Source organism: Homo sapiens, chromosome 11 (assembly GCF_000001405.40).
Source record: "Homo sapiens chromosome 11, GRCh38.p14 Primary Assembly".
In the NCBI taxonomy this organism is placed as follows: domain Eukaryota; kingdom Metazoa; phylum Chordata; class Mammalia; order Primates; family Hominidae; genus Homo; species Homo sapiens.
In genome coordinates, this window is record NC_000011.10 from 72,223,524 (window position 1) to 72,244,711 (window position 21,188).

Here is a 21,188-nt window from a genome sequence, read left to right on the forward strand (position 1 = left end):
GAGTGCTAATAATACCCGTTCGTTCCGCAGCCGCGCTTTACAGTTTACACAGCTGTCACCTTCGTTTCTCCTTAATTAATAATAAAAATAGCCGCCGTTCGGGAGCGCGGGCTGGGCGCCAGGCCCGGTGCCGAGCGCGGTACGAGCTCGGCCCCCAGAGCCGGCCCTCGCCACAGGATCCCCATTTTCCAGAGCGGGAAGCCGACGCTCAACCCCGCGCCGCGACTTGCCCGAGGTCACCCAGTGGGCCAGCGGCTCCGGGACCGAGGCGCGGGGCGGGGTGAGGCGAGGCGCGGTGCTGCCCCCGGCTCCCCGGGGCGGCGCGGGGCGGGGCGGGCGGCGCGGAGGGCGGGGGCGCGCGCGGATGGCCATCTTAAGTGGCCGCCTGGAGCCCAGGGCCGCTGTCCGGGGAAGGGGGCGCCGGAGCAGCCCGGGAGGTGGGGGTCTGCGTGCGGCGGCCGGGATCCCGGGAGGGAACTTTCTACTAGACGGGCCAGGGATCCTCCTGGCTTCGGACTGCTGAACCCCCTCAAGGCCCGGCCTGCGGGTGTGGGGGGTGGTGCTGGGGAACTTGGCCGAGAGGGGGAAGGGCTCTGCGGGGCTGGGAGGGGCTGCGTGAGAGGCTCGAGAACGTCGCACCTCGTCTGGGCCCCCCGCCAGAGTAAGAATCTTCAGAAGCCTGGTTAGCCAGGGAATCTCCCCGCAGGCTTTGCCGGGGGACGGTTCCCGTGGAGTTGGGGGTTCAGATCTAAGAGGGGGCTGCATTTCGCAGGAGTTGGGGGCCCCGCCCGCTTGGGTGGAGGGAAGAGGATGGGTAGGGGGTGGTCCTGGATCCTTCGCAGGTTTGGGGAACTCGATGCAGCCAAGCTGTAAGGGGGACGAGAGGAAGAGCCATGGAGTGGAATCAGACCTTTATGGGGCTTAGGGGTCATATCATTGGGAGAACTGAGAAGCGCTGAATTCTCCAGGGGGTGCCTGGATCCCGAAGTGTCGGGGCCAGGATGGGGGGACTCGGATTTCGATGGGGATTTGGGGACTGGATCTCCTCGGGTGAATGATGGGGGCAGGATCATTGTGGGGTCTGGGAGGTCCCGGGCCCTTCGGGAAGGTGGGGGCACCGTCCCCGCAGGAGGAGCTGGGGGCAGGGGCGGCCCGGGCTGCGGGCCGAGCGGAGGGGGAGGGGGCGGCAGCCGGCCCTGCGCTCCGCTCCTGCCCCTCCCCCGCCGCCTCTGAACAAACTTTTCTTTCTCTTCAAGTTGAGGCCGGCGCTGCAGGCAGCGGCGGCTGCGCGGTGAACGAGGCGGCCTGCGCGGCGGAGTGCTGAGTCCCGATCCCCGGCTCTGTCCGGCCCACGGATCCTCAAGCCCGGGCCCCGGGCCCGGCCCCAGCCTCAGCCCTGAGCGTCTCGGGGCGGATGGCGCGGGGCGGCGGGGGCGGGCGGTGCTGAGCCCTGCGCGGGCCATGGCCTCGGCCTGCGGGGCGCCGGGCCCGGGGGGCGCCCTGGGCAGCCAGGCCCCCTCCTGGTACCACCGCGACCTGAGCCGGGCGGCCGCGGAGGAGCTGCTGGCCCGGGCGGGCCGCGATGGCAGCTTCCTGGTCCGAGACAGCGAGAGCGTGGCGGGGGCCTTCGCGCTCTGCGTCCTGTGAGTGGGGCGGGGGCTCCTTGCGGGCTGGCGTGGACCGGGAGCGCGGGCACGGCCGGGTGTGGAAAGGGCCCGGGTGAGGGTTTCTGGGGCGGTGGGACGCCAGACCCGCCTCCACCCCCCAGAGTGGGAGCCTTGGCTTTCTCCTGGGTCTGAGGAGGGACGCAGGGGCACTTCCTGCTGTGTGTCTGGGGGCACTTTCAGGAGCCTTGAGGGTAGAGAATATGGGGTTCTGTGGCCCAGTGTGACTGTGATGACGAAAAATTCGGGCATTCCCCGGCAGACCCCTTCAGGCATCCTCCAGGTAGAAGGGAGCAGGGGAGAGGATGTGCATTCCACGTTGTGTGCAGTCCCGTTTGGATAGGGACTGAGTGGTGAGCAGGAGAGGGAGTCGGGGCAGAGGGACTGACGGGGTGTGTGGGGATGCCTGGCAGCTTCCTTAGGGCCCCTTTCGGTGCTTTGGGGTTCTGCCTGGCCGTGTATGGGTGGTGGGGGCGGTGATGGGTGGTGTAGAGAGGAAGGCTTGGGGAAGCAGAGGCTGAGGCTGTATGGGACCTTGCCATTATTTCTGAACCAATGAGTGAGTGTTTGAGCCCTGGCTCTGGGCTTGAGCCCTGGTTACCTGGCTGCCCTAGCCCTGAGCTATGAGTGCTGAGTGAGAGCAGAGCCAGACTTGGTGCTTCTCTGAGTGGGCCAGGTCCTGTGGCTGTGCCTTTCAGCCCAGTGTGGTTGGTAGTGGTGCTGGGGTGAGTTAGCACTCTTGGTTTTGCAGCCTTCTAGCGGCTTTGTACCTCCTGCCCTGCAGTCTGACATTGAGTTGGCTTCTGTGGGCCCAGTGAGTGGGAATCTGTGGGGGCTGCTTTATTTAGATCAGTTATTTAGATCTTTATTTAGATCTTTCTTAGCTCTGTGAACCCCCTCCCAAACTCCTGTCCCACTGTACCTTCCTTACCCCTTTGTTCTCCTGACATCTTTGGTCGGGGCGCACATTAGCCTAGACCAGGGGAGACCTTTTTTTTTTTTTTTTTTTTTGAGAAAGAGTCTCGCTCTGTTGCCCAGGCTGGAGTGCAGTAGTGCAATCTCGGCTCACTGCAACCTCCGCCTCCTGGATTCAAGTGATTCTTCTGCCTCTGCCTCGCCAGTAGCTGGGATTACAGGCGCTCGCCACCAAGCCCAGCTAATTTTTGTATTTTTAGTAGAGATGGGGTTTCACCATATTGGCCAGGCTGGTCTTGAACTCCTGACCTCAAGTGATCCACCTGCCCCGGCCTCTCAAAGTGCTAGGATTACAGGTGGAGCCACCTCGCCCAGCTGGGGAGACATTTTTAATTGTCACAACTGGGATGGTGCTATTGACATCTAGTGGGTAGAAGCCGGGGATACTGCTAAACATTCTACAGTGCACAAGAGAGTCCCCCACAACAAAGAACTGTGCAATCCAAAATGTCAGTGGTATGGAGGTTGAAAAACTCTAGCCTAGGCAATTGACCCAACAAGGAAGGGGCCCTATAAGTCTTAGCTTAGGCCTCAAGTCTGAGGCCCAGTAGGGGGAGACTAAGGAGGGACAGACTAGGCAGATGAATATCCCCAAGTCCTGCTTCCCAGCCCCCTCTGAGGCATACCCCCTAATTAGGCTGGGGAGGGAGGCAGGTGCTGGGTCAGCTGTTGAGTGGGAGGGGGACAGCTGGGGCCTGTGTCTGGGTGAGGAACATTATTGTCCCAGGAGGGGGAGAATCCTGGCCTCATTGCCAAGGGAGGCTGTGAATGGGGTGAGGGGTCTGTCTGTGAGTGGGGGCTTCAGGTTTGCCAGCTGACTCTGGCTCTTCCCCGCATCTCAAGAGCCTGGGGGTAAGGATCAGACGTGGGCGATCAGACGTGGGCAATATCTTAGATTTGCCAAATACACACATACTTGCTTACCTGTATACATTCCGGGTGTTCATGGATAACATGCAAGACACGCCCCTGCCCCAGCAGGCACAGGCAATCTGACCAGCAAGCTAGGATACTGGCCCTGGCTTCTGCCATGGTTTAAAATCCCAACTCCACCTTTTACTTACTCTGTGGCCTTAGGAAAATCACTTTTATTCTTTGAGCCTGTTTCCTCAGCTGGAGAATGGGGATAATAATATCTGTTTAGAAGTGTGAGAATTAAGTAAGATTTATAGGACACTGGGTACCCAGCGTGTCACAGATAGGATTCAGTTAATGGTATGCTATTGTAATAAACACAGATAGTGTTTGTAATAGTCTACAAAGGAACACCTGGTGACAGACACTCACCCAGCATAAGCAGCCAGGAGAGTCACCTAGGGTGACTCCTGGGTGACTCCTTGGGGAAGCATGCCCTGAGGTGCGGAGGCAGAGGATCTTCCATCCCCCGCTGATTGTGCACCTGGCTCAGCTGCCACCTGCTCAACTGCGGCTCCTGTCTGTCAGCACCCCTCTTGCCCCTCCTTGGCTTGGGGCTCCTAGAGGCCCAGGTCTCCCATGGGGGCCCTCTTTGGTGGGAAGGCCTAGGGTGATGCCCCCACACTCCTCGGCACAAGTGCCCTAGACATACCCGACTCCAGCAGAGCCAGAGAGCAGCATAAACACAGGAGGCATACACACGTGTTAGCACGTTGCCCGTGTGTGCAAATGGGCTAACCAGGCTTCTGAAGACTCTTACTCTGGCGGGGAGCCCAGACTGGTACCACAGCCCAGAGGGGCTGTTTAGACAGCTGTGGAGGCCACAAAAGAGCTCCCTGTTGCTTCTCAGGCCCTGCCCTGTGGTGGGTGTGGAGTCTGTGTAGGTCTGGTGGGGAGACGGGGGTGTTCTGGTCATTCCTGCCCAATAGGCAACACCAGGAGGGTGGAAGTGGACCGGCCACATCATTAACCCTGTGCAGCCTGGGCAGGTGGTTTTAGGGAAACCAAGCTGAGGGGGTTGGGGTGCTGAGCTTGCTGGCAGGAGGAAGGGGTGCTTTGGGTCTTAGACCCCAGCCTGGGGGTGACAGATTCTGGCCCTGCCTTGGCATCAGGTATCAGAAGCATGTGCACACGTATCGCATTCTGCCTGATGGAGAAGATTTCTTGGCTGTGCAGGTAGGAGCTTGGGCCCCTGACCCCTGACCTTGATCCAGCCTAGGGCTTGGGGACCTGCTGGCTGACCCTTCCTCCCACCCTTGCTGGCCCACAGACCTCGCAGGGTGTGCCTGTGCGCCGCTTCCAGACCCTGGGTGAGCTCATCGGCCTGTACGCCCAGCCCAACCAGGGCCTTGTGTGCGCCCTGCTTCTTCCTGTAGAGGGTGAGCGAGAGCCGGACCCACCGGATGACCGGGATGCCTCAGGTACTTCCCAGTGTGCAGGTCCCCTCCCTGCCCCTGTCCCTTGGCTCTACCTGCCTCTTCCCATCCCCCCTTCTCAACCCCACCTCTCCTGTAACCCCCTTTCCCTTGGCCATGATGCCGGGGCCCTTTAACCCTCTTTCCATGGAAGTCACTTTACAGCTGCATCGTGCCTCCTACTCCACTGAGTGTGGGAGGCCCAAACGGCTGCCCACTGACCCCTGCCCACAGATGGGGAGGATGAGAAGCCCCCGCTGCCCCCGCGCTCTGGCTCCACCAGCATTTCTGCCCCCACTGGGCCCAGCAGTCCCCTGCCAGCTCCTGAGACTCCCACAGCTCCAGCTGCTGAGAGGTGAGACCCCCATCCCATCCACTGAACAGGAGACCCTTTCTCCTCTGAGAACTATTTCCCTACCAAAGGTGGGGAGGCCTTCTAAGACCCCACCAGGGACCCCCACCCCACCTCAGCCCAGAGGCAGATAACCTGATCCATCCCGCCCTGGTTGCCACAGGTACTATCTCCTCTAGGGATGGGGCAGAGGTGCTGGGACAGGTCAGCAGGACCTCCACTGACTTCTTAACCCCTCCCCAAAGTGCTCCCAATGGGCTGAGCACCGTCTCGCACGACTACCTGAAAGGCAGCTATGGGCTGGACCTGGAAGCTGTGAGGGGTGGAGCCAGCCACCTGCCCCACCTCACCCGTACCCTCGCTACCTCATGCCGGAGGCTGCACAGGTATCTGGGACATCCAGCCCCATGTATTACACCCTTACCTCTGACCTGTCCTCACCTGCTTCCCGGCTGCACAGGTGCCCTGATCTCTGATCCTGAACAGTGAACTAGCCATTGCCTCTTGACTTTCCTCACTGGTAGCCTTTATCCTTGTGGTGAGGTTGAGGCTACACCCAGCGCCCCCTTCCCTATACTTAGGTCGGGGTGGGAGTTCTTTTGATCTGATGTCTTCCCTAGTGAGGTGGACAAGGTCCTGTCAGGCCTGGAGATCCTGTCCAAGGTGTTTGACCAGCAGAGCTCGCCCATGGTGACCCGCCTTTTGCAGCAGCAGGTAGATTGTAGGGAGACCTCTGGGAGGTGCGTTCGTGTTCTGGAGCTGGGTGGGAGGCTCTGCTTAGGTGACTCATGTACAAGCCTGGTTCTTCCTCCCCCCAGAACCTGCCACAGACAGGGGAGCAGGAACTAGAGAGCCTGGTGCTGAAGCTGTCAGTGCTAAAGGACTTCCTGTCAGGCATCCAGAAGAAGGTGGCATGATCTCTGACCCTTGACCCCCGATTCACTGGCCACTGTCATTGGCCTAGCACTGATCTCAACCCTCAGTCTACAACTTAACATTGGCCCCAAGGTCAATTGTGTCCCTCCCTGCCCCAGCCTTCAGTGTGTCCCCTGACCCCGCCCTGCCCTTGTTCCCTCCAGGCCCTGAAGGCCCTACAGGACATGAGCTCCACAGCACCCCCAGCTCCGCAGCCATCCACACGTAAGGCCAAGACCATCCCCGTGCAGGCCTTTGAGGTACATGGCAGTGGGGCCTCACAGGGCCAAGGGTGGTTGGAGGTGACCAGGGTGCTGCCTACTCCAAGGTCTTGTCAGCAGCCTCCCCACCTGGCCTACAGGTGAAGCTAGATGTGACCCTGGGTGACCTGACCAAGATTGGGAAGTCACAGAAGTTCACGCTGAGCGTGGATGTGGAGGGTGGGCGGCTGGTGCTGCTGCGGAGACAGCGGGACTCCCAGGAGGACTGGACCACCTTCACGCACGACCGCAGTGAGCCAGGGCCAGACCTGGGAGGGGTGGGCAGGGCGGAGCCCCTGGCCTAGGGGCACAGGCCCATGTGACCGGTCCTCCATGCCCTAGTCCGCCAGCTCATTAAGTCCCAGCGTGTCCAGAACAAGCTGGGTGTTGTGTTTGAGAAGGAGAAGGACCGGACTCAGCGCAAGGACTTCATCTTTGTCAGTGCCCGGGTGAGCAGCAGGCTGGGCCAGGCCACTGGGGACTGCGGGGGTCCCCCACATGGGTGCTTCCCATTGGAGGGTAAGAAAGGGAACACATGATGTAGGCATGCCATCCCTCCTGGCAGGGGTAGGTCTGACAGGGTAGAGGGTGTTGAGAACGGGTGGCCTGAGGGTGGATAACATTTGCCAGCACTGTTATATGCTTGAGCAGTGGGTATGCAGTGGAGAACCAGACAGACCCTCTCCTCATGGACATGAGCCAACTGGCAGGGTATCCCTGTGGACGGGGGGCTTCCTGGATGCCTACCCGCCCCTGAGTGGCTGCTGTTCCCCCAGAAGCGGGAGGCCTTCTGCCAGCTGTTGCAGCTCATGAAGAACAAGCACTCCAAGCAGGACGAGCCCGACATGATCTCAGTCTTCATAGGCACCTGGAACATGGGTCAGGCCCGGGCTGGGGCTGGGGCGGGAGAGAGGGATGGCCCCAGAGCAGGTGCCTAACCCCTCCAGACCCACCTCACCCCCTTCACCTCCAGGAAGTGTACCACCTCCAAAAAACGTGACATCCTGGTTCACATCGAAGGGTCTGGGGAAGACCCTGGACGAGGTCACAGTGACCATACCCCATGACATCTATGTCTTTGGGACCCAGGAGAACTCAGTGGGCGACCGCGAGTGGCTGGACCTACTGCGCGGGGGCCTCAAGGAGCTTACGGATCTGGATTACCGCCCGGTGAGGGGGGGTCATCTTGTCCAGGACCCTGTCCTCACACACCACCTCCAAACTAGCCTACTTGACTTCATGGGCAACCCTGGGAGCACAGCTTCACTGGCTTTTTCTCTGGTCCCTGAGCATATCCTTTGGGAGATCTGACCTGAGTCCTTCATGCCACGAGAGGAACCATTTCTCTCCAGTCCGTCAGGAAGAGGGGTGGCAAGCCTTCCTACCCTGTGATGGACACAAAAGTCTATTTATAGTGCAGGGGGAAATGCAGGCAGTGGGTGCAGCAGGGCAGTGGTGACCATGCACTCTCTACCCAGATTGCCATGCAATCACTGTGGAATATCAAGGTGGCAGTGCTGGTCAAGCCAGAGCACGAGAACCGTATCAGCCATGTCAGTACGTCCAGTGTGAAGACTGGCATCGCCAACACCCTGGGTAAGTGGGGCTGGCAGGTGCCCAAGAGTGGCAGCGTCTCTCTGTCCATGGCTTCTGCTTCCTCTCAAGCCTAGGATTGCCCCATTTTTGGTGATCTTAGTTTCCCCATATATAGGGTACTTTGAACTTTGAAAAACATATTCATATTCTAAATCTCTCCCAGCACCACTGGGAAGGCAAGGCCAGGATAATTACCCCCTTTTCACAGATGATAAAACTCAAACCCAGAGTGGTTGAGTGACCTGCCCAAGGTCACACAGCAAGTAAGTGGTGGAGCCAGGCATTGTGCCCAGGTCTCCTGATTTTCGGTCTGGTGCTCTCCCAGGTAGATTCTGCGCAGAATCTGCAGGGCCTTTCAGCTTCACCCTTGGGGTCCCCTGTGATCTCCAGGGGCTCTGCTCACACATACAGACAGACTCAGGCCATCCACACAGACCATGTGTGCCCAATGAGGACCCCCCCCTCCCCCAGGGAAGGTGTGGGTGTGTGCAGGGGCCTGCCCATGTCACAGCGTCTGGTGGGCTCAGCGGGAGGATCCTCTCACTGCAGCTTTGAGAGGCAGAAGGGAGAGTTGGGAGCCCTCTGAGGATGACCCAGGCCTTCCTCTCTTGCTTGCCTTAACAGGGAACAAGGGGGCTGTGGGCGTCTCCTTCATGTTTAATGGCACCTCATTTGGCTTTGTGAATTGTCACCTCACCTCGGGAAATGAGAAGACGGCTCGGTGAGGGGGCGCCTTTCCCATGGTCTCTTTACACCCATCCCATTCACCTGAGGCCTGTTCCCGCTCCCATACCCTAGCCCATGACCCTCCCGCAGGCCTGTCTCCAGAGACCCCCTGCTCTCTTATCCCAATTCAAGACCCTTCTGTTCCTGACCCTAACCTTGTCCCCAGGGGCCCGGATCTTTACCCCATCCCTGACTCCTGAGACTTCTTCCCTTTATGCCTATCCCTGACTTCTGGCCCTGACCCTGGGGATCTACCCCTCCCCACCACGCACCCCTCACCCTAGGAGGAACCAAAACTACTTGGACATCCTGCGGCTGCTCTCGCTGGGCGACCGGCAGCTCAATGCCTTTGACATCTCTCTGCGTTTCACACACCTCTTCTGGTTTGGGGACCTCAACTACCGCCTGGACATGGATATCCAGGTGCGAGCAGGGCCCTGCCATGGCTGTAGGGAGGCTAAGGGCCACATGGGCTATCACCCCTGGCTCTGGCTCCGGAGGAATGTTTCTAGCCTTTGTGTCCTCCACCCCAGGAGATCCTGAACTACATCAGCAGGAAAGAGTTTGAGCCCCTCCTCAGGGTGGACCAGCTCAACCTGGAGCGGGAGAAGCACAAGGTCTTCCTTCGATTCAGTGAGTGTGGGCCTGGTAGGTGGTGATCTGAGGGCTAGGAGACTTGCAGTATCCCTGGGTGTCAGGGCCCTGAACCCCACCTGTCTCCTGCTTTCCTTAGGTGAGGAGGAGATCTCCTTCCCACCCACCTACCGCTATGAGCGGGGTTCCCGGGACACATATGCCTGGCACAAGCAGAAGCCAACTGGGGTGAGCCAAGAAAACGGCATGGGCCTTGGGGGACCGCAGGCCTGCGATGAATCAAGAATTTGGGTCAAGGGTATGGGCCTCTGCAGCTTCCACTCCAGCCTCCATGGCCCCTCTGAGGCCTTTGGGTGATCCTGGGTATTTTGAGGATCCAAGAAGGGAGGTGGGTGCTAGGGCCTCTAGTAATAGAAGTGTGGGGACTCATCAGCTCTGGAGTGGGGTCCATGCCAAGCAGCCTCCTAGCTGTCAGCTCTAACCATGCTGCCATCCCCTGCCCCAGGTCCGGACCAATGTGCCCTCATGGTGTGACCGGATTCTGTGGAAATCCTACCCTGAAACTCACATCATCTGCAATTCTTATGGTCAGAGCCTCCCGGACAGAGTGATGGGAGATCTGGGGTGGTCACCATCTGGACTCTGCCCTAACCTTGGGAGGTGGGAGCCGAGGGTGGGAATATTCCCCCTGAGTCCCCATTCCTATCCCCTCTCCCCAGGTTGCACTGATGACATCGTCACCAGCGACCATTCCCCCGTGTTTGGGACATTTGAGGTTGGAGTTACCTCCCAGTTCATCTCCAAGAAAGGTGACTGTTCCAGATATGCTTGTGGGTGTGGCATAATCTAGGTGGGCACAGGTGGTGGCCTCGGGATGTACATAGGTTTGACTATGTAAGTGTGTGTGTGGGTGTGTGTACCAGTGAGTGCAGGAGTGTTTCTCAAGGTGTGATGTGTCAGGGTGTCTGTGCGCCTGGGCCATCACAAGAGTTGTGTGCCCATGAGTGTGTGTGCATACGTGAGTGTACACCTATCTATGTGTCTGTGTCTGTCTAGGGCCACGTGTGTGTCCCTGAGTATGCCTGTAGGTGTGGGAATCCTGCAGGCATTCTGGTCCCCAGCACCCTCTTCAATGGGTTTTTTATCCTTGGGTTGTCTCTTTGCTCTGGTCCAGGGTCTGGCCTCTGGAGATTCCCTGTTGGTGGCTTGGGACTGGGGAGGCCCCTCCTGGCCCTGCCTCCTTGCTCTGGACCCCTGATTTCCTGTCCCAGGGCCCTGTTTCTCTGTCCCATTCCTCCTGTGATCCTCTCAGTCCTCCTGTTTGTTCTCCTCCCTTTCTCCTCAGGGCTCTCAAAGACTTCAGACCAGGCCTACATTGAGTTTGAGAGCATCGAGGCCATTGTGAAGACAGCCAGCCGCACCAAGTTCTTCATCGAGTTCTACTCTACCTGCCTGGAGGGTCAGAGGCGTGGCAGGGGCTGGGTGTGGGCCAAGGAGGATGGGAGGCAAGAGGGTGCAGTCAGCCCCCTACTTAGGGGGAAAGGAAGCTGAGAGGTGGTGCTCAGTTGGGTGTCTCCCACCCCCACCCCAGAATACAAGAAGAGCTTTGAGAATGATGCCCAGAGCAGTGACAACATCAACTTCCTCAAAGTGCAGTGGTCTTCACGCCAGCTGCCCACGGTGAGGCTGTGGGCAGGGCCCCTGCTTATGGGTGAGGGCACAGAGAGGGGTACATAAGAGTTTATTGGAGAGCCTGCCTGGGAGGGAGTGTGGGGCCAGCAGAGAGAGAGAGAGAGAGTGTGTGTGTGTGTGTGTGTGTGTGTGTGTGTATGGGCATGGGCATGAGTGAGGATAAAGGCGTTTGCTTTATTTTGGGAGTGTGGAACCTTGTTGCAGTTTGTTCATTCATTCAGGAGATGCTTCTTGAGCTTTTGCTAGATGTCAGGTCCTGTGTTAGCTATTGAGAAAATTAATTAGTTACAGTGATGCTAGGTGCTGTAAAAGGCCTGTATAGGGCTGTGTCTTCTGCATTAAGGATTTGGCTCTTCTCTGAAGAGTTGAGTGTGAGTGAGCACAGATGACCTGAGGGTGGGGATTGAGTGGTGTCAGGGGGCAGCGCGTAGGAGGGGCAGGAGGAAGTGGCGGGGCTTTGTTCCTCACTGGGCCTCCCTGCTTCCCAGCTCAAACCAATTCTGGCTGATATCGAGTACCTGCAGGACCAGCACCTCCTGCTCACAGTCAAGTCCATGGATGGCTATGAATCCTATGGTGAGGGGTGAGGGGTGCTGAGGGGAACAGGAAGCCAGACAGGGCCCTAGATTAGCTTGGTAATTTGCTGGTTTGTCCCATCTGCTCCTCAGGGGAGTGTGTGGTTGCACTCAAATCCATGATCGGCAGCACGGCCCAACAGTTCCTGACCTTCCTATCCCACCGTGGCGAGGAGACAGGCAATATCAGAGGCTCCATGAAGGTGCGGGTGCCCACGGAGCGCCTGGGCACCCGTGAGCGGCTCTACGGTGGGGACTCCACTGGGACATGAGATAGGGTGGTGTGAACAGATCAAGGAGGGCAGGGTGCGGGGGGCATGTTGGAATCTCTGGGATACCTGGAGGTTCTGCAGCCACAGCTGGGAATAGTCCTGCCCCAAGGCATAGCTGGGAAAGGGCTGGCAGGCCCACTGGGTGTCTGTGGGATCCAGGAGCCCAGGTCTCCTCTGAGTCTCCCTTCCTGCCCCCTCAGAGTGGATCAGCATTGATAAGGATGAGGCAGGAGCAAAGAGCAAAGCCCCCTCTGTGTCCCGAGGGAGCCAGGAGCCCAGGTGAGCTAGGGCTGTGTTGAATGTCATATGAAAGGGTACCTGGGGGCATCTGGTCAACCCCACTTCATCTCTCTCCTGTGCATCCCTGGCAGGTCAGGGAGCCGCAAGCCAGCCTTCACAGAGGCCTCCTGCCCGCTCTCCAGGTTATTTGAAGAACCAGAGAAACCGCCACCAACGGGGAGGCCCCCAGCCCCACCCCGAGCAGCTCCCCGGGAGGAGCCCTTGACCCCCAGGTGAGAGGAGGAACCTGTCACCGCCCCCCCTTCCCCCACCCACCTCTATCCATCACTATCCCCTGCAGGGTCTCAGGGTTGGCCTGGAGATCATCAGCTGCTTAGGTGCCCTGCCACTCTGTGGTTGGAGCTGCCATGGCCTTATGCCTGTGGCCAGCCAGGCCACCCTTAGCTGTGGCTCTGAGTCAAAGGGAGCAGTCAGCCTTTCCTCTCAATTCTGCCTTTAAAAATGGAATGCGAAATTGTTTCTAAGACAGCTCCCTCCATGTAAACAGACCTAGCTTGAGCCTTCTATTTGGAGGAGGCACATGGCTCGGCCTGGGATTTCCCAGGGTACCTTCTTTGGAACTCTGTCCTGCAAGAGGCCCCAGTTGAAATGGGTTTGTGGTCAAATGAGTTTGGGAAATGCTTTTTCTAGATTCTTTTCTTAGACATTCCCAGTGCATGTTAGTATTAGCAAAAGCTCTGAGCATGTGGACAGGAAGGAAACCTCTTTTCAGCTCTGTTTAATATAGTTTCCCAAACTTAATGGGCCAGGAAACTTATTTTCCATGTAGTAACTATTAACGTTCTGGGGAATTAGTGCTCTGTGTCACACTTTGGGAAAGTGAGGCTTGCTTTCTAATTATATCCGATTGTTGCTTAAACTTACATAAACTCCTAGGTACAGTTTGGTGCTTTTTCACTCATCTTCAGCTGTTGTCAGTCACCCCGGTTTTATCCCTAGGCTTGAATAAGACCCACCTGAATCTCTGAGAAAGATTCTGCAGCGGATTGACTGTGGGTGCCTCAAGAGGCTTTCCAAACCTGGCCTCTCATTGGAGGCTTCTTGCCCTGTCTTCTGGCACCTCTATTCTGACCCATTTAGCTTGGGTTTCACAGCTACAGATAAAGTCATGAAAGATCTAAGTATCTTAGCAAGTGAGGCAAGGGATTGTAGGGTTATCCATTCAAAGGGTTATCCTCCCTCTGACCTTTAGAGATGAAGAAACTAAGGGCAGGTGATGTGCTCAAGGTCATGAGAAAGTCTAGGACCAGGGGACTTTCTGACTCCCGTCTAGTTCTCCTTCCACTGCTTCCACTGCCTTAGACCTGGGTTCCTGGATCCTGGCTTAGTCGTTCTGCTTCCACACCCAGGTTGAAGCCAGAGGGAGCTCCTGAACCAGAAGGGGTGGCGGCCCCCCCACCCAAGAACAGCTTCAATAACCCTGCCTACTACGTCCTTGAAGGGGTCCCGCACCAGCTGCTGCCCCCGGAGCCACCCTCGCCTGCCAGGGCCCCTGTCCCATCTGCCACCAAGAACAAAGTGGCCATTACAGTGCCTGCTCCACAGCTTGGGCACCACCGGCACCCTCGTGTGGGAGAGGGGAGTTCTTCAGATGAGGAGTCTGGAGGCACACTGCCCCCTCCAGACTTTCCACCTCCACCACTGCCGGACTCAGCCATCTTCCTGCCCCCCAGCCTGGATCCTTTACCAGGGCCAGTGGTCCGGGGCCGTGGTGGGGCTGAGGCCCGTGGCCCACCACCTCCCAAGGCCCATCCAAGGCCTCCACTGCCCCCAGGCCCCTCACCAGCCAGCACTTTCCTGGGGGAAGTGGCCAGTGGGGATGACCGGTCCTGCTCGGTGCTGCAGATGGCCAAGACGCTGAGCGAGGTGGACTATGCCCCTGCTGGGCCTGCACGCTCAGCGCTCCTCCCAGGCCCCCTGGAGCTGCAGCCCCCCCGGGGACTGCCCTCGGACTATGGCCGGCCCCTCAGCTTCCCTCCACCCCGCATCCGGGAGAGCATCCAGGAAGACCTGGCAGAGGAGGTGTGTGGAGCAGGGTGGCTGTCTGTGTGTGCCTGAGTGTGCTTGCCCACAGACTGGTACCCTTTCACTCCACCATTCAGCACTCATGGTGTCCCTGCTACCCTGAACTGATCACTGGGAAGTTGGGAGACACATGTATCAGCCCAGCCCTTCCCTTCCTTTTCCCCAGAGCATGCAGCAGAATGTGACTGCAGGTGTTTCTATGGGGGGCACTCAGCTCCCCCTGACATGCCCTGTTTCCTTAGGCTCCGTGCCTGCAGGGCGGGCGGGCCAGCGGGCTGGGCGAGGCAGGCATGAGTGCCTGGCTGCGGGCCATCGGCTTGGAGCGCTATGAGGAGGGCCTGGTGCATAATGGCTGGGACGACCTGGAGTTTCTCAGGTGGGGGAGGGGCTGGCCCCGGGGGCGGAGCTGGGGCCCTCAGGATCCCCTTGCCCATCTCACTTCCCAGCCTGTTTTACTCCACAGTGACATCACCGAGGAGGACTTGGAGGAGGCTGGGGTGCAGGACCCGGCTCACAAGCGCCTCCTTCTGGACACCCTGCAGCTCAGCAAGTGATAGCGGAGGCACCACGAAGCTGTGAACTCAGAGCCCCTCCCTGCTACCAAGGCCCAGCTATGGCCCCAGGGTTGAAAAGTTATGAGGGTCAGGGCAGTATCTCTCTGCCTATTTATTGGGGTGCCTATTTATTGGGGATCTGCATTCCCCGCTGCCCAATCATTTGCAATGCCCTAATTAGGGCATCCTGCCCCTCGCCTTTTAGGCTCAGGACGGAAGGTCAGTTGCCATGGTTACCGAGGACCCTGGTTACTCTGGTGCTGTCCTGTTTTACTGGACCCCGCCTCCCAGCCCCAGGGGTGCCTGTGGGGGTCCATTTGGGTACGTCTGGGCCCCCACTTTCACCAGTTTCTGCGGCCTTCCACCGGGCCTGAACCACAGCGGAGGAGCTCCGCTAAGACCTCCCCACCCCCGCTGGGGGTGGGGGCGGGTGTCCGTCCGGAAATGAAGGAATAGCCCGAGGACCGGGCTGGGGTTTATTTAAACTGTTCTGTGTGGGTCTGGGGAGGGAGAGCACCTTAATATTATTGGGGTTGGTTGGGGTGGGGCAGGATCTCAGCCATAAAGTGCCAGTTTGCTTAGTTCTCACTGTCTCCTGGTCTGTGCTGCCCTGCTCTGGGGATGCACGGCGGCAGGGTGGGGGAGGGAGGTTCCTCGCAGGTCTCAGCCCGGGACAGGGTCTTGCAAGCAGCCTCCTGGGCAGTCGTAAGGGTTGCGGCGTGATGTCTTCAATAAATTAAGTTTTATTTGGATTGAGTAAAACTTCAATAAATTACAAGTTTTTCAAAGAAAAAGGACAACCAAAAAAATTAGGGAAAGAGAATCCCTCTGTCCCATTCCCCAGGCAGCCCCTCCACTCCTCTAACAGGTCCACCCTCTGTGCCAGACGGGCTAGGGAAGAGAGGAGACACGTGAGGGATGAATTGGCGGTGGTCATTAATTATCCCGGCGACCACCAGCCTCTGTACGGGTGGGCCCGAGGGGTGGGGCAGCGGGCTTTCCTGATCACCAGCGTAAGGGGTGACCCAGCCGCTGCAGAGCCAGGGAAGGGGGCTGTGCCGATCCTCCTTGAGGACCTTCACTTTGAGGGCACTGTTAGGGACAGGCCTCATGTGATACCGCATCCAAAGAAGGCCAAGCTAGAAGGAGCTCCGGGGTTCTCCTGGAGGAGGTCCCGGTATAAAGAACTCCGCTCTGCTGGTAGAGGGTGGGTGAGGACGAGAGTGGCCCTGACTTGGTCTCCAAAGTTGGGGAGGACACACCGAGGGGTGAGACAGTAGGGAGTGGAGACGGATGGGGACTTCCAGGCGGGTGGCCAGGATGGGAGGGGCTGTCAGGTCCTGGAGGGGCAGGGACGTCTCTGGGGGCAGGCTCGGAGCCTCCAGAGGCCGGCAGCTAGAAGAGATTGGTCTTCAGGGCGGGGCCGGGCTTCCGGTGAAAGGAGGACAGAACCCCGGAGAAGGGCCCGGGGCCGGACTCCGCCGGCTGCCAAGCCTTAAGTAGTTCGGCCGCTCCCGCGCCAGGCCCGCCGCCCCCACCGCCCGCCACACCGGCCCACAGTGCGCCCTTGAGCGGCTGTGGCCCCGGCCCAGGTCCCGGCCCGGAGCCCAGTGCGACGGGCAGCGGGCTGGGGCTCAGGCGCGGGCTGGCCAGGCCGGGCGCAGGCGGCGGCGGCAGCGAGGCGGTGCTATCGGGCGTGGGGCTGCACGTGGACTCCTTGGAATCGTCGTCCTCGGAGGAGCAGCGCGCCTCGCCCTTTTTGGCGCCCGCCGCGCCCGCCGCGCCCTTGGCGCTGGCCGCGCGCTCCTGTTTGCGGAACTTGGCCCGGCGGTTCTGGAACCAGACCTGCGGGCACAGGGGCCAGTCAGCCTGGACGAGGGTCGGAGAACGCACGGGGTCAGCCCGCGGCCGCAAGGCTCGAGTGAGATCCTGGTTCGGAAAGAACCGGGCCCGGGTTCTTACTAGTTGGAGGGGCCTTCGGCCCTCCGCACGCAGCCCGCTGCACTCCGCGCTCCACTGGCCCCTGCCTCCAGATCCCTGGGTTCTTGCCCTTGGGATCCACTCACCCGCTGACTCTGCTGCCTCCCAGCACTCTTGGTCTCCCGGAGGGGACCCTGCCTTCGTTCTCCTCACTCTAAGTTCTTCCCCCAATTCCTTCTTTTAGGAAGCTCTGGGACTTCCCTCCTGGAGTGTTCCAGGGCCGTGGAGAGCAGTTTAGGGCGCCAGTAAACCTTTTGTCTAGGGCATCCAGTCAAGGCGGGCCAACTGAACATCTGTACACGGAGTTGTACAAATAGACAACAGTCTGCTCTAGCCCGGCTCTCTTCGGCCCTGTGCCTGCCACAAACTCAGCCTCCCGGGCTCCGGGTTTTCAAAGCTGCAGCGCCGGGGTAGGGAACCCCAGGGGTGCTGACTGGCCTGCCCCCTCTCCTCCTCAGCTCGGCCCTGAGGTCCCCTGGGTCTCCCCCTCTAGCCCCTCGGCCTCCCTCCTGGCTTCTCAAGCATCACTCGGAACTTTCTGCCCTAAGAGGGAGACAGAGCGGAGGTAGCCTGGAGCTAAACAGATCGGGTCTCCCAAGGGCCTCCAAGTCCGGGCCCTGCTGCCTCCCGTAGCTGCCCAAGCACCCTGGGACCGCGCCCTGCCTTCGGGCTGCATCTGCCTGTATTCCCCTACCCCCAGGTGTTAGACATTAAGCTCCCACACCTCCTTCCATGCGCACTCTCGTACACACACGTGCATACACGCACCTGCACGCGAGCCTCAGTGAGGTCGATCTTGAGCGCCAGCTCCTCACGCGTGTAAATGTCGGGGTAGTGGGTCTCAGCGAAAACGCGCTCCAGCTCCTTGAGCTGCGCGCTGGTGAACGTGGTGCGGATGCGCCGCTGCTTGCGCTTCTCGTGCAGGCCGGATGGCTCTGGGAAGAACTTGTAGGGCACTGCGGGTGTGTGCAGGGGGGCCGGGGGGGGGGCAAAAAGGATGGGGGAGTGAGAAGCAGAGTTCAACCCGTTGTGTCCAGCTCCGGGGGAATCACACGCCTCCCCCGTCCCTGGCCTGATCCCTCGTCTTGGTCCCGGCAGCCTGGGGCCGAGCGTCCTCCCTATTACTCAATGGAGCCGGCGGGATAAAGGCGGAGGGAGATCAGGGAGACCTGAGCCCCAAGAGCGGCCAAGGGGAAAGCATAATCCAATACTCCAGCCAAGACACTCCCTCCCCCACCCCACCCCCGTCGTCGCCCTCCTCCCAAGCCCTGTTCCCTCCATCTCCCCCTGCACCCCCATTCAACCGTGCCTCCGACCCTTCCCTCCTGTCTGTCTCTCAGCCCGTCTGTCCCCTCTGTCTACCCTGGCCCTGGATGTCTGTCAGGTCTCATCAGCATTGCCAGTCTTCCCACTAACCAGTTCTGGGCCAAGGCTCTGCAACAGAGACCCTCCCACCGGCCCTCCTTTCAGCCCTACCACCAGCCTTCCCACCGGCTCTCAGCTGTATACAGATTTGGCTCCCTCCACCCATCCACCTCTCCCCTTCCCAAGCCTCATTTCTTCAATTCTGCCCCACTCCCCTGACCCCCATTCTCCCCTAGATGTCCCCCTCTCCTCTTCCTAATCTTCCTCCATTTGAATCTCTCTTCAACTTTCCATTTCTCAGCCACTCTTCTCTTTGTGCCCATTGAGAAGACTTCCTCCATCTTCTCTTTGCGCCCATTGAGAAGACTTCCTCCATCTTCTCTTTGCCCTCCTTCTTCCTCCCCAGGCACCTTCTCCATGTCCCATCTCCTCCAAAGCCAACACTGCCCCCCAACTCTCTTCCTATACCCATCCCAGTCTCCACTGCCCCATAGGTAGTGTTTCTGACAGTACTTCCCTTCCCTGTCTGTAACCCTGGTTTAAGTCTTCATATTCACCAGGGGTCTCCAATCTCATCTTTGTCCCATCCAGGCCTCCATCTCCCCTGATTCTTGTCTCCAGCACCCCATTTGTATTCTTATCTTCGTCATCTCTATTTCTAATCTTCTTTGGTCCCCATCGCCTGATACTTATCTCTATCTCCCCAACCCTGAGTCCCCATTTCTCCTAGGATTTCCAGTGCTTCCATCTCTGCTCCCATCTCTCTGTACCTTATCCCCATCTCTCTGGTCTCAAAACCCTGTATCTCTGGAGGCTGTCTCCCCTCTTCCCAATCCCTACCCTCATCTGGCTCAGGGTACCCAATCTCCCCACCCTGGGCCTCATTTCTCCAAATCCAGGTTCTCATTTCTCGTATCTCTTCCCCAAACCCCAGCCTAGGGCCCAGTCTTCTTCTTCTTCTTCTTCTTTTTTTTTTGAGACCGAGTCTCATTCTGTCACCCAGGCTGGAATGCAATGGCACAGTCTCAGCTCACTGCAACCTCTGCCTCCCAGGTTCAAGCGATTCTCCTGCCTCAGACTCCCAAGTAGCTGGGATTACAGGCGTGGGCCACCATGCCCAGCTAATTTTTTTTTTTTTTTGTATTTTTAATGGAGATGGGGTTTCACCATGTTGGTTAGGCTGGTCTTGAACTCTTGACCTCAAGTGATCCACCCGCCTTGGCCTCCCAAAGTGCTGGGATTACAGGCATGAGCCACCGCGCCTGGCCCTTAGGCCCCAGTCTTCTACTTGGGTCCCCGGCAGTCTTCCCAGGAGGGAAGGCGATAAGATTACATAGGGCAGGCTGGGACTCTAATCAGAGGGCTGAGATGACTGAGAAGCTCAGTGAGGTTGAGGGTTTGGACAGGGACTTGGATCTAAAGTCTTGGGGATGCAGGAGCTGCTTCCGGGTTCTACAGAACTCTAGCTGGGAGAGTCTGGGGGAATGGGGAAATACAAGTGGCTTAAAAACCCGGGCCCCTTTATTGCGGGCTACGGGATCTGGTTTTGGTGGCTACAGAAGGGTTCGGTCCCAGGCAGCGTGGGTCCAAGACAGGGCAGGAGGGGCCTGATGGCCACGCGAGCTCTAGGAAGCTTCCCGTCTGGGCAGCTCAGCTGCCTGGAGAGGTCCTTGCTGGGGGTCATGCATCTCGTGGGGCAGCGGTGATGGGGTGGGGTGATAAGTGGTGATAGGGCTGGGCTGGGAGCCTTTTTCAAAGATCCAGCGCTTGTAGAGGTTTAGTGGTCAGTCTTTGCAGGTGGTGAGGGGAAGGCCTGGTAAGGGGCCCAGAGCTGGATGGGGATATATTTCCTTGACCTGAAGGGCACGAGACAGAGATTTGGCAACGAGAAAAAGGAACAGGAGAGATGAGAGGGTGAGGCTCATTCCTGCGGAGGAGAACCTCGTATTCTGGGGGTCTCTCGGGGCATTGGAGGGTCTGGCCAAGGCAGGAATGGGGGCGGCTGAGGGGGACAGTCGCATTCACTTGGCGAGCGGGCCCAGGGATTCTGCAGGAATTGGAGGGAGGGTTGGGCCGGGGCTGCGCTCACCTGCCGAGTAGGGCGCGGGCTGGTGGTCGCGTAGGGCGCCAAGTGCGCAGTTGGAGGAGCCGAGCGCGGGGCAGGGCGGCCCTGCCGCGGGGAAAGCGGGCCGCAGGGGGCTGTATTGGAAGCCGCCGGGCTGGCTGCAGGCGCCAAAGTCGCCGTAGGCGGACGCCTCCATGGCCGCCACGCACGAGTCGTACGAATTGAGGTAGGAGTAGTCCATCGGCCCGGGGGGCGGGGGCGGGGGCCGGGCCAGGCCGGGTCGGGGTCGGGGTCCGGGTGGAGGTCGGAAGGGAGGTTCGAGCGCCAGGCTCCGAGGACCCGAGGCCAGCTCTGAGCGCCCGAGAGTCCGCCCGCCCCGTCGCGGCCGCACTCAGCCCGGGTGCAACGCAAGTGCAGCCAGCCCGGCCCGCGCGCCTTTTAACGCGCAGGACCCCGCGGAGGGGGGCGGGGCGGGGCGAGCTCCGAAGGGGCGGGGCCTAGGAGGCCCAGACACCGCCCAAAGCCGCCCCGACCCCCACCCCGAAGGGTCCCCGCCGCCGTCTTAGGGCTCAGAGGTGTGGAGCTGGGATGCGCGGGACCCTATCCCCGGAGTCCCTATCCTGCCCCAATCCGGACCAGACCTTCGGTCTCTACACAGCGTCCGAGGCCAGAGGGTCCCGACCCTTTTCCCGGGCCTCCCCACCTGCGGCCCCGCGGAAGGGAGGGGAGGCAGGCCTGGCGGCGCTCGTGTGAAGAAGTTAATTCAATTCGCTCTGATAACCGAGTTATTCCGATCTGGCCCCTCAGCCCCGCCCCCAGCGAGGTCCCATCCCGGCGGAGACTGCGGAGGCGGCCCAGGAAGGGGGATGGAGACCGGGAAGAGACGGAGCCTGGGATGGGGACAGGGAAGGGACGTGGATAGACAGAGGAAACAGAGACCGGGAGAGA

General features: G+C 59.5%; 2 protein-coding genes across 17 annotated transcripts, besides 5 other annotated features; one reads left to right on the plus strand and one right to left on the minus strand.

The window, feature by feature from the left end:
* On the plus strand, positions 40-15,624 carry INPPL1 (inositol polyphosphate phosphatase like 1). Of its 13 annotated transcripts, none has more exons than XM_047426888.1 (29): positions 40-280; positions 1,257-1,643; positions 4,667-4,730; positions 4,825-4,975; positions 5,204-5,324; positions 5,501-5,707; positions 5,942-6,035; positions 6,140-6,229; positions 6,401-6,496; positions 6,598-6,748; positions 6,839-6,945; positions 7,273-7,375; positions 7,470-7,666; positions 7,975-8,092; positions 8,717-8,813; positions 9,103-9,241; positions 9,352-9,451; positions 9,552-9,640; positions 9,918-9,999; positions 10,132-10,221; positions 10,758-10,871; positions 11,004-11,092; positions 11,593-11,680; positions 11,773-11,928; positions 12,152-12,230; positions 12,323-12,463; positions 13,601-14,273; positions 14,519-14,652; positions 14,740-15,624. In XM_047426888.1, the coding sequence occupies exons 2-29, from the start codon at positions 1,462-1,464 to the stop codon at positions 14,828-14,830; spliced, it is 3,843 nt and encodes a 1,280-aa protein (XP_047282844.1). In that variant the 5' UTR covers positions 40-280; positions 1,257-1,461; the 3' UTR covers positions 14,831-15,624. The 13 variants fall into 13 exon arrangements, with proteins under 13 accessions (XP_047282844.1, NP_001427365.1, XP_047282843.1 ...); NM_001440436.1 differs by having other exon boundaries at positions 5,567-5,707; XM_047426887.1 differs by lacking the exon at positions 40-280 and adding an exon at positions 371-661.
* Positions 200-599: a silencer, noted in NCBI's record as "silent region_3715". NCBI's record gives its function as "represses an Ori minimal core promoter by ATAC-STARR-seq in GM12878 lymphoblastoid cells {active_cell/tissue: GM12878}" and the evidence as "EXISTENCE:reporter gene assay evidence [ECO:0000049][PMID:35858748]".
* Positions 1,150-1,509: a silencer, noted in NCBI's record as "silent region_3716". NCBI's record gives its function as "represses an Ori minimal core promoter by ATAC-STARR-seq in GM12878 lymphoblastoid cells {active_cell/tissue: GM12878}" and the evidence as "EXISTENCE:reporter gene assay evidence [ECO:0000049][PMID:35858748]".
* Positions 1,520-1,729: a silencer, noted in NCBI's record as "silent region_3717". NCBI's record gives its function as "represses an Ori minimal core promoter by ATAC-STARR-seq in GM12878 lymphoblastoid cells {active_cell/tissue: GM12878}" and the evidence as "EXISTENCE:reporter gene assay evidence [ECO:0000049][PMID:35858748]".
* Positions 3,135-3,494: an enhancer, noted in NCBI's record as "Amplicon_46_11:71615350-71615709 (NCBI36/hg18 genome assembly) insert fragment". NCBI's record gives its function as "drives selective reporter gene expression in differentiated C2C12 myotubes {active_cell/tissue: C2C12}" and the evidence as "EXISTENCE:reporter gene assay evidence [ECO:0000049][PMID:22144875]".
* PHOX2A (paired like homeobox 2A) lies at positions 15,554-20,653 on the minus strand. 4 transcript variants are annotated; one of them, NM_005169.4, is made up of 3 exons: positions 20,265-20,653; positions 17,579-17,766; positions 15,554-16,675 (listed from the first exon to the last, which is right to left on the minus strand). In NM_005169.4, exons 1-3 carry the CDS (start codon positions 20,479-20,481, stop codon positions 16,226-16,228), a joined length of 855 nt encoding a protein of 284 aa, NP_005160.2. In that variant the 5' UTR covers positions 20,482-20,653; the 3' UTR covers positions 15,554-16,225. The 4 variants fall into 4 exon arrangements, with proteins under 4 accessions (NP_005160.2, NP_001412026.1, NP_001412025.1 ...); NM_001425097.1 differs by having other exon boundaries at positions 15,554-16,699; NM_001425096.1 differs by having other exon boundaries at positions 15,554-16,759.
* Positions 16,356-16,525: a silencer, noted in NCBI's record as "silent region_3718". NCBI's record gives its function as "represses an Ori minimal core promoter by ATAC-STARR-seq in GM12878 lymphoblastoid cells {active_cell/tissue: GM12878}" and the evidence as "EXISTENCE:reporter gene assay evidence [ECO:0000049][PMID:35858748]".

Excerpts from the sequence above, each read along its gene's own strand:
- INPPL1 (XM_047426888.1), top strand. The coding sequence starts at position 1,462 with ATGGCCTCGGCCTGCGGGGCGCCGGGCCCGGGGGGCGCCCTGGGCAGC. Across the intron at positions 6,497-6,597 it reads TCCCCGTGCAGGCCTTTGAG|GTGAAGCTAGATGTGACCCT; the intron begins GTACATGGCAGT and ends CCTGGCCTACAG. Across the intron at positions 6,946-7,272 it reads TCATCTTTGTCAGTGCCCGG|AAGCGGGAGGCCTTCTGCCA; the intron begins GTGAGCAGCAGG and ends CTGTTCCCCCAG.
- PHOX2A (NM_001425096.1), bottom strand. The coding sequence starts at position 20,481 with ATGGACTACTCCTACCTCAATTCGTACGACTCGTGCGTGGCGGCCATG. Across the intron at positions 17,767-20,264 it reads GCCCGCGCCCTACTCGGCAG|TGCCCTACAAGTTCTTCCCA; the intron begins GTGAGCGCAGCC and ends ACACACCCGCAG. Across the intron at positions 16,760-17,578 it reads TCACTGAGGCTCGCGTGCAG|GATCTCACTCGAGCCTTGCG; the intron begins GTGCGTGTATGC and ends TTTCCGAACCAG.